Source organism: Homo sapiens, chromosome 8 (assembly GCF_000001405.40).
Source record: "Homo sapiens chromosome 8, GRCh38.p14 Primary Assembly".
NCBI lineage: Eukaryota > Metazoa > Chordata > Mammalia > Primates > Hominidae > Homo > Homo sapiens.
In genome coordinates, this window is record NC_000008.11 from 86960267 (window position 1) to 86975728 (window position 15462).

The window sequence follows — 15462 nt, forward strand, 5'->3', positions numbered from 1 at the left end:
ATCAGGACACTCCCACTCTAATACTGCACTTTTCCAAGAGTCTTAGCAAACGGCACACCAGGAGATTATATCCCGCTCCTGGCTCAGAGGGTCCCACACCCACAGAGCCTCACTCACTGCTAGCACAGCAGTCTGAGATCGAACTGCAAGGTGGCAGTGAGGCTGGGGGAGGGGCGTCCACTGTCACTGAGGCTTGAGTAGGTAAACAAAGTGGCCGGGAAGCTTGAACTGGGTGGAGCCCACCTCAGCTCAAGGAAGCCTGCCTACCTCTGTAGACTCCACCTCTCGGGGCAGTGCATAGCTGAACAAAAGACAGCAGAAACTTCTGCAGACTTAAACGTCCCTGTCTGACAGCTTTGAACAGAGTAGTGGTTCTCCCAGCACGGAGCTGGAGATCTGAGAATGGACAGACTGCCTCCTCAAGTGGGTCCCTGATCCCTGAGTAGCCTAACTGGGAGACATCTCCCAGTGGGGGCCAAGTGACACCTCATACAGCTGGATGCCCCTCTGAGACGAAGCTTCCAGAGGAAGGATCAGGCAGCAACATCTTCCATTCTGCAATATTTGCTGTTCTGCAGTCTCCGCTGGTGATACCCAGGCAAACAGGTTGTGGAGTGGACCTCCAGCAAACTCCAACAGACCTGCAGCTCAGGGTCCTGACTGTTAGAAGGAAAACTAACAAACAGAACAATTTTCAAAAGCCAAAGCAGTTTATGACCTTAAAGCCTTTCACCAACCTAGTTTCTGACTTGCATAATTTAGACCATGTCTACATTTTGAAGACATTTCTACTTTTATTTTACCAATAATTTTAAAGCTAGCCTGTTTATATATAGCAATATATGTTGTTATAACATATGACAGTAAGTGTACAAATAAACACATCTAGACATGTATACATACACAAATGAAGATCCAATAGCTTGGAACCCTAGCCATAAGATAGCACTACAAGCTTACCAGTTTTACTTTGTTTGCCCCAATAGACAATCCAATGAAGGCTGTGAACCAAAATTTCAGGTAAATTGGTTTCTATGACAGTTTGATTTTTAAAAGCCAAACTTCCCCAGACTCCAAAGAACACTGGGGCCAAACAGCACCAAAGGAGAACATCACAAGTTAAAACAGGCCCCCTGCTTAGAACAGCAGCACAAAACCCTGGATACATGCAATGCAATCTTACTTTCCTATTCAACAGTAAACTCCAGATTCCATACAATATTGGGGCCAAACAGTATTGTAACTGTGAGAGAAAATTCTAAGGAGGGTTTAGTACTAGACCTCAGAACCTCTGCCAAGGGCATCCCGTTTGGAGAGGTGGAGGTCCAGAGGATCCCCTGGGATGTCCCCCTGTGGGATCCAACCTTAGAGTGTCAGATGTCTCTGACCTTAGGTAGGCACTAGTGCTGCTTTGTCTTCTCCCTCCAGAGGCAATGGCCTACCACGATCTTTGTAAGGCCATGCTTTCTCAGGCTTCCTGTTCCACCAGAGTGACAGCCATGAAGTAAAAGGCATTGCAGCTTTATTTTTCTTTCAAAATAGTTGATCTAAGCACTTGATTTTCTTTAAGCCAATCAGAGCTCTTTTATATAAACATCATACACATAACACATGTGTAACTACACAGACTGAAGGAGATTCAGTACTTGTAAGATTTTTCATGTGCCAATCTCCTATTTGCATTGCTAACCCTAGGGGTGGAGCACTTCAAGAACCAGGTCTAGGAAAACATGCAGGCAGGTTCTATGGCCTAATAAGTAGGAATAGCTGGAAGACAAGAACAGATTTTGAGAGGGATACATCCACTTGTAATCCCTGGCACTCCATGAGGAAAACAGAGGTTTTTTTCAAAAATGAATCAATGATGCCTCCTTTGTTTTCCCAAGAAGTCCCAGGACTTCAGAGGTTATCTTGGGGCCCTTCATGTGTGCAATAAGAATGGTAAGACAAAAATGGAGACTAATTCAGTCGACTGATAAAACCTTTTTCCAGAAAAAGAAGATCCATGAGAAAAGACATACAGGCCTTTTAAATATACCTATAGCTTTGATAACCATGGACATCTACTTTTAAATAAGCTAACTTTTAACTATAGCACCCCTTTTTAAAGTCATTTTAAATCTCTTATTTCCTGACTTTAGCCATGCCAAATGGCCATTTGAATTCTTGGAGGGGCAGAGAATACAGTGATTTTTATCCTTCCTGCTACCAGTTTGCACAGAGAAAGAGAAGTCAGAGGCCGGGCACAGTGGCTTACACCTGTAATCCCAGCACTTTGGGAGGCTGAGGCGGGCACATCACGAGGTCAGGAGATCAAGACCATCCTGGCTAACACGGTGAAACACCGTCTCTACTAAAAATACAAAAAACTTAGCTGGGTGTGATGGCAGGTGCCTGTAGTCCCAGCTATTCGAGAGGCTGAGGCAGGAGAATGGCATGAACCTGGGAGGAAGAGCTTGCAGTGAGCTGAGATGGTGCCACGACACTCCAGCCTGGGCAACAGAGCAAGACTCCATCTCAAAAAAAACACAAAAAACAAAAAACAAAACAGAAGCTAGAAATCTGACTGGCAAGAACCTTTACCCTTTTGCTGGCATGTCAGGCTTCTGGGTTCCCTTCCCCTGAGACATGGAGTGCTTTGACCCTGGAGTCCTGTGAAGGGGAAAAAGCTATTTTCTTTCTCCAGCCTGAGGGTCAAAGGAGTCCAGTGATTTAGGATACACTTGAGGAGTGCAGGCTGAAAATGATTCACTGGTTACCCATCTGGAAAGAGGAGTAAAAGGCTTCCCTTTGTTCCTCTCTCTTCCTAGCGAATACCCGGGGTATGTGACAGGGAGAAAAGGCATCCCTCTTAATTATTTCGACCTTATATCCCTGAGTTCCGGTGACCTGTGCAGGTGCTGACCATGGGTGCAAGTGCAACCTTCACCCATGAAGTTGGAGGCATAGCTGACAGGCATGCACCTGAGCAGAGCCTAAGCCTCCCACTCTCCGTCACATTTGAGTTCCCTAGACCCTATCTATGCCATGTATGTAAGCATGATATTCCCATCCATGAAGCAGGAGGCCTAATTGTCAGGAATTAGTCATGCTCACCTGCACTGTGCCCTTCGACTCCCGCTGTCATCTGCCTCAGGTCTATTGTTCCATTCCAGGGCTTCAAACTGAAGCTTCGGAGAAAAAGGTGCCTCAGGGGGGTGTATGAACCCATTAAATTGGTCCCAGATAGCCCTTGCCAAATTGCAGCTAGCAACTGGCAGGGGCTGCTCTACCATTGCCTCCCTATCACAAGTAGGTGAAGCTGTGGGGCCAAGTCCTCCTCAAACAAGGGAGAGAGAAAGGGAGTCCCAGTAACTGGGGACCTGGCCTACGAAGGTGACAACTAAGAGATTGGGTTTTTCCTGAGATGCCCTTCACGGTCATGCTAAGAGAGGAGGCGGACCTAGGTTGGAGAAGAGAACTGAAAGGCCTGCTCAAGTCCAGGAGGAGGTCCAACCTCCTTTCCTTGATCCCTAGAATCACCCTAGCTCCTGGATGGCAATGACAGTCTGAACCACCAGAGTCAACGAAAGGAACCCTGGGACCAGTCAGTCCTGCTGCACCATTTGGGAGATGGCAATCTGGACCTTGCCACCCATGTCTCAGGGACAGTCTGCCCTCCAATGATCTACATTTGCAGCAGTTGACAGGTGCATTGTGAGGACTCTGAGGTTTGTGAGCCTGCAAGTTGGTTATTAGAGCCTCTGTCTTTTTCTTGTGTCTCCTTCCCTCTCTTGGGCCTCCCAATCCTATTTTAAAAGGCCAAGGTGGCCACTTCCAGAGGTCCTCTATAGTACTCTCTGGTCGTATGGCCTGTTTCTGTAGCTTCCTCCTGATATCAGGGGCTGAAGTCCCCTCTTAGATTTCTGAGGAAGGCAGTGGGACTCTCATCCAATCCCTGGTCTACCATGGATAGCCCAGTGCAATCAAGAGGTCTAGTCCCAGTCCCTTGCAAGCCATCCAATATGCACACCTGTAAGGGCTTCCTTTTCCATTCTCCCGTTTCATCATTGGGGTCCCATTTAGTGTTCTCCAATGGTACTGCTATTCTTCCAACTAGATAAGGCTCATCCCCTTCCCTGGTCCTATATAAGATGTAAAGCTTATCCTAAAAATTCTCTGCCACTTGCAGGGTGGCCTGCTTTTCAGCAGTGGTCAGGGTTTGATGCAAAAGTAACATGACATCCTTCCATGAGAGTTCAAATAGTTAGGTTAAGTTCTGGAAGGCCAATATATGCCTGTCAGGGCCATCTGAAAACCTGCTTGGATCCCCCTTAATTTGCTGTAAGCCCTGAAGAGAAAAGGGGACCCGAATCTAAATGGGACCGTGTTTACCACACATCTGTTGTAGGAGCAGGAGTGAGACTGGGACCTGCCTAAAATGACTTCTAAGATGAGGCAAGCTTGGAAGAGAACCTGGATAGGGAGGAGTGAAGGGAGCTGATTCCCCTGCTGAAGGTACCACTGGGGTTTGTTTCCCCAGTTCCCTGGGATTGACCCTTGCAGCCTCTCCTGAGATGGTCACTAGGAAGGCTGAATCAATCCCACAACGTTGGCAAAGATCTGGGTTACACTACAAGGCAAAGAAAAATAGTCCAAGGTCCCTTCACATAAGGGACGTTGGACTATTTGCCCTCGTGTTTATGGAAAAGCTTTCTTCTTGAGGCAATGCTTCTTTTCTGTGCCTCAAGGTGCTTAGACCTAAGTTGTCAACCAAGTAAATTACAAGAACATTTTTACCACAAGTTTACATACAGATACCAAGACATACTTTTCTTTGTCTGTGCTACTCTTAACCTTATATTATATACTTTCAATGACTAAGCCAAATGCTCATTCTACACAGTAGTATCTTTGTTTGGCAACATTCTTAACATTTTAATATTGTATATAAAAGAAGAACCATGACAGCATGAGAAAAAAGAAAGAAACAATAATAGGAAAGACTAAGGTCCTAGCGCGGACACCCTAATGGGCAGTCAGGGATTGGAATTAGTCCAGGGGCCTTTGGATAACACCAAGGTGTAGCCTCAGCCAGATACTCTCAGTTGCTCCAGGACCTCCATCCAGTCCCAAGTGACTGCTAGACCTCCATGAAGTGAAACTGGGTTGGAACAAAACCAACATTCCCAACACCAGAGAGTGATGGGGGATTAACAGTGTCCTCCCCAGCAAGCCTGTCCTCCTTAAGTCTGGCAACCATGCTAGTCATTTTTAACTGGCTAAGAGTCCAGTGTTTTTTCTTCATTTTGGCTATTATGGAGTTTAGAGACTCCAAAAAAAAAGGACAGAAAGCAAATTCACTTTTACTCACCCTTCCTGCAGATGAGCCCTCAAAATGTTACGGGATCTTTGGGGGGTGGATTTTCTGGCCGGAAACCTCTGTGGCTGCGGGTGGCTTTGCCTGACTTCTTGTTCTGTATGCAGGAAGAAAGAGGTATGAAGACAAGCGAAGGGTGAACAAGATGAAGATGAGCTTTATTGAGTGTTCCAACAGCTCAGAGGAGACCTGCAGCAGGTAGCTCCTCTCATAGGCAGATCATCCGTGGAGCCTTCAGTTCTCAACAGAGAGGAGGCCCTGGAGAGGGTGGCTTCTCTCTGCTTGTGGTCATCCCATTGTCTCCAGCTATCAGCAGAGAGGGTACCTCCTCTCTGCAGCTGGTCCTCCTGTCCTGTCTCTGCCTTCTTCATCCTCTGGTTGTCCTCTGCCCTTCTCTGGCTGAGCCCAGGGCTTTTATGGACCTCAAAGGGGAGGAAGTGCCTGCTGATTGGTCCATGGTTGGCCATGGGTGGGCCCAGAAGAGCCATAATGAGTCCCCACTCTGGTCTGCAGGACCAGCAGTCTGGCCCCCAGCCTTCGGGACCTCCTTGGCCTGAAGGTGGGGGTTCACTGGGAACCTGCCCCCTTCTACCCAGGAATCAATCTGCCTCCAGGGGCCAGGCCAGGAATTAATCAGCCTCCTGGTGCCAGTCATGGCCCAGGGGCTCTTCCCCAACTCCCACTCCAAGACTGGAGCGGGTGCTGGTGTGTCCGGAATTGGTTGCTTCCGGTCGGTTCTTGGTCTCACTGACTTCAAGAATGAAGCCGTGGACCCTTGTGGTGAGTGTTACAGTTCTTAAAGATGGTGTATCCGGAGTTTATTCCTTCAGATGTTCAGATGTGTCTGGACTTTCTTCCTTCTGGTGGGTTCTTGCTGACTTCAGAGGTGAAGCCGCAGACCTTTGCAGTGAGTGTTACAGCTCTTAAAGGTGGCACATCCAGAGTTGTTCATTCCTCCCGGTGGGTTCATCGTCTCACTGGCTTCAGGACTGAAGCTGCAGACCTTTGCGGTGAGTGTTACAGCTCTTAAAGGTGGCGCGTCTGGAGTTGTTAGTTCCTCCGGATAGGTTTGTGGTCTTGCTAGCTTCAGGAGTGAAGCTGCAGACGTTTGTGGTGAGTGTTACAGCTCATAAAGGTAGTGCAGACCGAAAGAGTGAGCAGCAGCAAGAGTTTTTGAGAAGAGCAAAAGAACAAAGCTTCCACAGCATGGAAGAGGACCCTAGGGGGTTGCTGTTGCTGGCTTGTGTGGTCTGCTTTTATTCCCTTATTTGGCCCCACGCACATCTTGCTGATTGGTCCATCTTACAGAGAGCTGATCAGTCCATTTTACAGAGTGCTGATTGGTCCGTTTTACAGAGTGCTGATTGGTGTATTTACAAACCTTTAGCTAGACACAGAGCACTGATTGGTGCATTTACAATCCTTAGCTAGACAGAAAAGTTCTCCAAGTCCCCACCTGACCCAGAAGCCCACCCGGCTTCACCTCTCACCAGGAGTGGAGAGAGGCCAGGCAGCCAGACCAGACACCCTTGAGCCTGCAGAAAAAGTGCGTGTGGGGGGTCCTTCCTGGGGCTTCCAAGGGTATAAGCTGCAGAGACACCTGGTCCTGTGCCTAGGAGGGTGGCTGAAGCCACACCCAGGAAGGCAGATCTTGCTTGCTGCGGGCCCTACCCAAAGAGCACAAGAAGGCTCGGATACACAGCTGCAGTTTGGATGGCTATAGTCCTGCCCAGGAGGGCCAGGCTCCTGTCTGCTCTGTAAAGCAGGAGACTTGGGTTTGCAGCTGTGGTTTGGGTGCAACCCGGGAGCTCTGGTCCCAACTCAGAAGGGGCGGGGCTCCCACTGGCTTCATGGAGTGTGCAGCACCAACTGAGCCTCCCTTCTGCAGCCAGTGTCATGTCTTCTGCCATCAATGTCTTCTATCTCAGAGATTCTTTCCTCAGCTGTCTGCTAATGAGACCATCAAAAGCATTCTTTCTTTTACAGTGTTTATTTCTAACATTTTTTAAATTCTTTCTCAGAATTTTATCACTTCTTATATTTTCCATCTGTTCTTGCATGTTGCCTACTCTTTTTAATAAGGCCATTAGCATAGTAATCATAGTTTAAAAAGATTCCTGGTCTGGTAATTCCAACATTCCTGTCATATCTCACTCTGAATCCGTTGCTTGTTCAGTTTTTTTTTTTTTTTTAACCTGCAGTTTTGTTGTTGTTGTTTTTGCCTGCTAGTAGCTCTGTAATTTTTTGTTGAAAGGTAGATATTGAGATACTGGGTAAAAGAAACTGCAGTAAATAGGCCTTTGATAATAGCGGTAAGGTGTAGGGAGAAAGAAAGTGTTTTATAGCCCTGTGATTAAGTCTCAGTTTTTGGTGAGCTTGTGGGCCTGGACTGGGAATGTTACATGTGCTTCTGAGTATTTTTCCCCCTCCCCTTAGGTGGGACAGAATGGCTAGAGTGGGTTGAAGTTGAGCATTTGCCTTCCTCCTGGTGGATTTGGCTCGTCTGACAAAACCCTATTCTGTTAGGCTTTTGTAAAATAGTTTATTTTGAGGACACACCTTGTTAAGAAAACCGTATTGCTCTGGGTTATTTCAAACCATTTTTTTGTTTTGTTTTGTTTTTTACCACTCACCCGGTTGGAAGCTTGAAAGGATTTTTCTCCTATACTCATCATGAGGGCCTGATAAGGTTCTGGGGGTAAAATTCACAAAAATGTGAATTGCCCCCACCCTTGCTCAAGCATGAGTGGGTCCTCTGGAGTTTCTAATACCTAAAGAAAGAGTAAACACTGAATAAAAATGTATTTTCTCTTTTAGAGACAAGACAATCAAAATCTGAATTTTACTTTGTAAATCAAAGAGAACGACTAAGGCAACTCTCAATCATTTTAGGAGGTTTATCCGCCAAAGTTAAGGACGTGCACCAGGGAGGCAGGTCTATGCCTTTCTCCAAAGATGATTTTGAAGGCCTCAGTATTCAAAGGAGAAGGGCAGATATTTGGGGAAGAGAAATATTTTTTAAAAGATTCAGTAGATAAAAGGACAGAATGGTTGCATCCTTTTGAGTCTTTGATCAGCCTTTCACTTAATATACAGTTTTCCTGTGAGAGGGTGGTAGAGGAAATAGTTACTCATAACTTAGTGTGGCTTAGTGAATCTGCATTTTTTGTAAGACAACATAGACAATAGGGCAGAGGAAGCAATCAGATACGCATTTATCTCAGGTGAGTGGAGGAATGACTTTGAGTTCTATCTTTTGTCCTGCACCTGTGAAGATAAGCTATCAATTTACATTGACAAGGTGAAATTCAGCAGAACTGTTTGAGGGTAGAGATCTTGGAGCCCACAAGGAATTTTCTTGTGGGCAAATTGTGAGGGAAGTATGTAGCTTTTTATTTTTGTAGCCATCTTATTTAGGAACAAAATGGGAGACAGTTTTGTGTGATCCAGTTCCCAGCTCGAATTTTCCTTTGGTTTAAGTGAGTTTGGGGTCCCAAGATTTATTTTCCTTTCACAACTTATTTACTGTTTTTTTTCTCTGCATTTTCTCATTTTCTTTTAAATGTTATGTTTGCTTTATGTTAACTGTATTTATTGAGTCTTATTGTGTTTTTTAAAATCTAACTATAAAGCTCATTTAAAAACAACTTTTCCACAGATAAATAATACATTAAACAAATAAGAACGCAGATATTTTGATTGAAGAGATGAAATTTGTAAACTTTTCTATTCTGTTATTTCCCCATTTTTTGCAGTGTCTTTATAAACACTCCTTCAGAACCTTCTTTGAAAACCACTACCAGTGGCAAATCCATCAATCCTTTTCTTTGTGATTTTGTCCCATGTTTTAATGTTTAGGAAATTTTACTTAACAGTGAACTAATTGGTACTACTGTTAAGCTTTTCCTTATACCACTGAATGTTTGATACTTTGAATCTCTGAAATAAACTGAGAATGGACAGATTACCAGTAGAAAAGGCATACAAATTTATTATGTGCATACACATGGAGTCTCACAAACTATAAGGCTCAATATTATATTATAATATTACCTATTACAATATGTATTTTTGAGTTATTGTCTAATACAAATTAATAATGTGGAATACAGTCATCTAAATTTTTTTCTCCTATTCAACTAAGGACTAGTGTTTTATATATATATATACACACACACACACACACACACACACACATATATATAGTGTGTGTGCGTGCATGTGTATAAATCCTAAAATCAATATCACTAGTACTTTAAACAATCATTTTTAACTTAGATTTACTCCTATTTTTAAACTTGCATTTCTTTTCATTTTTTTTCTGCCTGAAATATATTAATATTTTCATTATTGTGGTCTGCTGATGGCAAATTCTTTCAGATTTTATTTGTTCAGAAAATGCCTTTATTTTCTTTTCATTCTTGAATGTTTTTGCTGAATATAGAATTCTAGTTTGGCAGTCATTTTTATTTACAACTATATGGCTTTGTTTCAACTACAAACTCAGTTATCAGTCTTTCTGTTATTCCATTGAAAATAATAAGACTCTTTAACCTAGCTCATTTTTAACCCAGTTGTTTTGAAAAATTCTTAACCATTTACTTACTAAATATCCCTCTAATAAGCTATCTTTCCCTACTCCTTCTGGAATTTCACTTAGTAATATGTTAGCACTTCTAATTATGTCCTATGTGTCTTATTTTTTTCTGTTCTTATGATTTTGTCTCATCATGCTTCAGTTTATGTTTTCTTTTGCTCTTATTTCTTGCTCACCAATTCCCCTTTTAGCTAGGACTTATCTGGTGTGTTAATCTCATTCACGGAGTTCTTTTTTTCAATTTTTATTTTAGATTTAGGGGTAAATGTGCAAGTTTGTTACATGGGTATATTGTATAGTGCTGAAGTTTCAGGTATGAATGATCTGTCACCCAGTTTTACTAAGCATAGTAATCAATAGGTTTTCAACCCTTCCCCTCTTCTCTCCCTCCCACCTGTAGTAGTCCACAGTGTCCATTGTTGCCATCTTTAAGTTCCTATGTATGTAGTGTTTAGCTTCCTCTTATAATTGAGAACATGCAGCATTTCATTTTCTATTCCTGCCTTAATTCACTTAGAATTTATGACCTCCAGCTGCATCCATGTTGTTGCAAAGGACATGGTTTCATTCTTTTTTATGGCTGTGTGGCATTTCATTGTTTACACATACCACCTTTTCTTTATCCAATCCACCACTGAAGGGCACCTAGGTTGATTCCATGTCTTGGCTGTTGTTGTTCACAGAATTATTAATTTCAGTTATACGTTTATCATTTCTCAAGGCTTTCAATGGATTCTTTTTTACAGATTACAGTTCTTTGCCAAAAATCTTCATGTTATCTTTAATGTCCTTGGACATTTCAATTATAATTATTAATTTGTGATGCAGTTTTATCACATTTTAAATATATACTTTATTCTGTGTATTAGTTTGTTTTCATACTGCTATAAAGAACTATCTGAGACTGGGCAACTTATAAAGAAAATAGGTTTAATTGTCTCATACTTCCACATGGCTGGGGAGGCCTCAGGAAACTTATACTCATGGCAGAAGGCAAAGGGGAAGGAAGGCACATATTACATGGCGGTGGGTAAGGGGCCAGGGAGTGGACTGCCAAACATTTTTATACCATCAGATCTTGTGAGAACTCACTCACTATTATGAGAAGAGCATGGGGAAACCATGCTCATGATTCAATTGCCTCCCACCAGGTACCTCAACAAATGGGGATTGCAATTTGAGATGAGATTTGGGTGGAGATGAAAAGCCAAATCATATCATTCTGTTTCACTGAAATTTGTTTAGTCTTATGCTGATTTCATATTGATTTAAAAATAGCTTTAGTTTTATGTTATCTTTGGATAACTGATGAGACAATTTATTACTATTCCGAAAATGTATTATATATTTAAAATAGAAACTTCCTCACTCAAGAACATGGTGTATATTTTGCATTTATTTTAGTCTTTTTTACTCAATACAGTTCCATAGAGTTTCTATACTTTTTTTGAGGTAATTCCTAGTTTTTATATCGTTTTGTGAATATTTTGTGAATAGGATTATTTTCTTATTATATTTTCTAACTAAGCATTGTTAGGATATGTAAAAGCTATTTCACTAGCTCTCTCTATATTTGTAACCAACTGCCTCAATGAACACATATTAATTCTAAACATTTCAATTGTTTTTCTTTTATTTATTTTTAAGTAAACAATGCAATCTGGGAATAATTATCATTTTATCTCTCACATAGATATATTTTATTTTCATTTATTATCTTAATGCATTAAATAGAACTTTTTTTTTTTGAGACAGGGTCTCATTCTGTTGCCCAGGCTGGAGTGCAGTGGCATGATCTCGGCTCACTGCAACCTCTGCCTCCTGGGTTCAAGCAGTTCTCTGCCTCAGCCTCCCAAGTAGCTGGGATTACAGGTGCCCGCCACCATGCCTGGCTAATTTTTGAATTTTTAGTAGAGACGGGGTTTCACCATCTTGGCCAGGCTGATCTTGAACTCCTGACCTCGTGATCCACCCACCTCGGCCTCCCAAAGTGCTGGGATTACAGGCTTGAGCCACCGTGCCTGGCCTAAATAGAACATTTTTAAACATAGTATTAAATAATTATGACAATAGTGAGCAGTTTTTTAATGTATTTTGTTTTAATAGTATGCTTCTAGTGATTTACCATATTGTGTGATGTAGGCTCTTGGTTTAAGGGAAGAAAAATGTAAGAGTAGAAGCATACTTGTCAAAAAGTCTTGAGTTGAAAATCTAAAATCTAACTTGCAACTTTGTAGATATAACATCATGAATAATTTATCTAACCTGAGTCTCTTCATTTTTAAAAAGGTGAAGCATTTAGCTAGTTCTTAGGATGCTTATGAAACTTAAGGAGATAGTGCATATGAAGTACTTAAATGTACAAAATTATGCACATAATAGGTAAGATACACAGACACACACACACACATCTTCACCATTTTTCACTCTGCTTTATGCCTCAACCATGTGACTTTTACAAACTGCATCAGCTGTACTTTCTGACCATCTAGTTTCTGGTTGGATTTAATACAATGGAAGACACCAGAACATATTACAGGTGAAAAGAGGGTGAGGTCTGAGTTATTATTCCCTGGTTCCTTTCTTGCCTGTTAGACGAGGTTGGCTGTTATCCTATTGCCAAATGCCATAGTAGTCCCTCTTCTGCAACTGTAGCCCTCTCAGGACATCAAGGACCCATATTTTCCGTTGTACTTTCAGGCTTACAGACAACTTCTTGCTGTCCCCTCATCCCCTCGTTGACTTCCCTCACCACTTCCTATTTACTTTTGTAAATAATTTCTTCATTAAAAATCCACTTAAGTGTCCCTTCTGAGGGTGTAATCATCTTGTTTGATGAATCTATGTAAGCATATATAACATTTCCAAACAACCCTAGAGTGCTAAACCAGATCCATACTGTTTGGCTCCTACCTACTCTAGAATTGTATTCTGACCACTGGCCTTGACAAGTCATCTGTAGTTTTCTGATTGGGCTGCTATTTCATGTGCCTGTGCTAATGCTCTTTCCTCTGCTTTGAATGTCTCTTCTATCCACTTTTCAATTTCTTCTCTGAAGTCTTTTCTGATACACTAGGTAAAAATTTACAGTTATCTTTTAAACATCTATCTATACATGGAATTTTATATAGAATTTTCTCATAGTAATGCAGTAATAATTTATTTTATTTGCATGATCAAAAGTTGTACTTTTGTTATTAAACTGGAATCTCTGTAAAGGATGTGGCCTTGTCTTTTCATCATTGTTTTTGCCATGGCTTACATATAATTCATGGCACAGTAGGTACTGAAGAAATGTTTACATAATAAATGACTCTAGCTATTATTATTAGGAGTTAGCTCATACAATTTATGTTAGAATTGAAATATTGTGAGAAAGGTTGTAAGCTTCATCATGCAGAAGTTGTGTTTAGTGTGAAAGTAGGGCTTATGTATTTTCAATGCCCTGACATGTTTTTGTAGCAAGTTGACACATTGCTTTTGTACTACCAGGTGGAATTCCACAGAGCTTAAACCAGACAGGGATTAACAACAGTTTGAGCTGTCTGAGAGCACTATTGACTCTTTTTCCAGTAGCATTGAAACAGGAAAAGGAGGGGATAAAAGAAAATTTAATTATTGCACTATTTTAAAAGCAGTAATTTGCTGATTTCGGAGAGTGACTTGATACTGTGGAATTTTGATTTTCTCCAGTGCTCACATAGAAAAGAGTAAGGCATTAATAAATATTTATTGACTATTGTACAAATAAAAATTTAATCTTCTAATAAAAATTTAATCTTCTAGGAGGATTTTTTTTACAATGGAAAATATACCCCAAACGGTTACTAAGAGGATGGGGAATGTTTTGTCCTGTAATTATAATGATAAATGTTCAAAAATGTAATTACAGTTTTATTTTATAATTATGACAAATGTACATATGAAGAAATATTCAGCTTCATAAGTAGTCAAGGAAATACAAATTAAAACTATCAGGAAATATGATTATATGCCCAACAAGTTGAAAAAAAATTCAGAAGTGGGAAAATAAAAATTTTTGTTAAGGATATGATGCTATAGCTGTTACATGCTAATTTTGGGAGTATAAATCCATACAATTACTTTGAGAAACAACATTACCTAATGTAGATAAACATTCCCATAGTTATAATTCACCCTTATGCCTGTAGTACCACAGAGCAACTATGTATGTAGTTGCATATGTGTGCTATACAATACTTGTGCATATATGTACCAAGAGACACAAGATTATTCACAATAGCATTGTTTATGATAAATTGCTATTCACAATAGAATGGTTGTAAATTGTAGCCTATCCACACAATAGAATGCTATATTATGGTGAATGGACTAAGACAATAATACATGCCTATCATCATATTTGAACCTCAGAATGTTACATGTTAAATTTAAAGGTGAGAAGCAAATTATGGTTAATAATGTGCAACATGATTCCATTTGTATCAAATTTGAAAATAAGTAATACCAAATATAATATTATTTAGGAATATAAATACACATGATGAATTATAAAGAAAATCAAATTTCTTGGAAATGTTCTATTCTTAAGCTGGATAATGTATGTTTATGTTCGGTTTCTTTTTAGTTTATTATTTCAAATTTACATGTGCATTATGTTTCATCCATATCTTTTACATATCATATAGGATTTTTAAAAATTATGTAAATAACCTTAAAATAAGTCTATTCCCATTTACAAATGCAAACACTAAAAATCCATTAAAGGCAGGGCTAATGTGTTTGGAAAAAATCTATTGGGAAACTCCTTTAGGCACAGATAAAATGAAAATATTCTCTGTGTTCAACAAAATTACCTTAGTGTATACAGCAGATTTTCTTGTTTACATTTTAAAAAATATTTTATTTTTAATTGACAAATAATAGTTGTATTTTGTATGGCTTACAGTGTGATGTTTTGAAGCATGTATACGTTGTGGAATGATTGAATTAGGTAAATTAATATATCTGTCATCTCACATAGTTATCATTTCTTTGTGGTAGAACATTTAAAACCACTCTTTTTAGCAATTTAAAATGTACAATACATTATTATTAACTGTGCAATAGACAACCAGAACCTTCCTGTCTAATGAAATTTTGTACCCTTTGATCAACATCTCTTCCTGTCTACCACTGTCCCCATCCCCACCTTCAGCTTCCAGTGACCACCATTCTACTGTCTACTTATATGTTTGACTTTTTTAGATTTTGCATATAGGTGAGATCATTGAGTATTTAACTTTTTGTGCCTGGTTTATTTCACTTAGCACAATGCACTCTACATTCACCTATGTTGTTATAAATGACAGAATTTTCTTCTTTTTTTAAGGCATAATAGTGTTCCATTTCGTGTATATACCACTTAAAAAATTCATTTATCCATTGATGAGCACTTCAGTTGTTTCTATATCTTGACTATTGTGAATAATGCTGCAATGAATGTGGGAGTGCAGTTATCTCTTTGACGTGCTGATTTCCATTC

General features: G+C 40.4%; 1 protein-coding gene across 4 annotated transcripts in view, besides 1 other annotated feature; it reads left to right on the forward strand.

The window, feature by feature from the left end:
• Positions 1 to 15462, forward strand: part of CNBD1 (cyclic nucleotide binding domain containing 1) — a 562238-nt gene that overhangs the window by 93852 nt on the left and 452924 nt on the right. The window lies entirely within an intron of this gene.
• Positions 8287 to 8788: an enhancer, noted in NCBI's record as "NANOG hESC enhancer chr8:87980781-87981282 (GRCh37/hg19 assembly coordinates)". NCBI's record gives its function as "activates a minimal SCP1, AML or CMV promoter by ChIP-STARR-seq in naive H9 embryonic stem cells {active_cell/tissue: H9 hESC(naive)}" and the evidence as "EXISTENCE:reporter gene assay evidence [ECO:0000049][PMID:30033119]".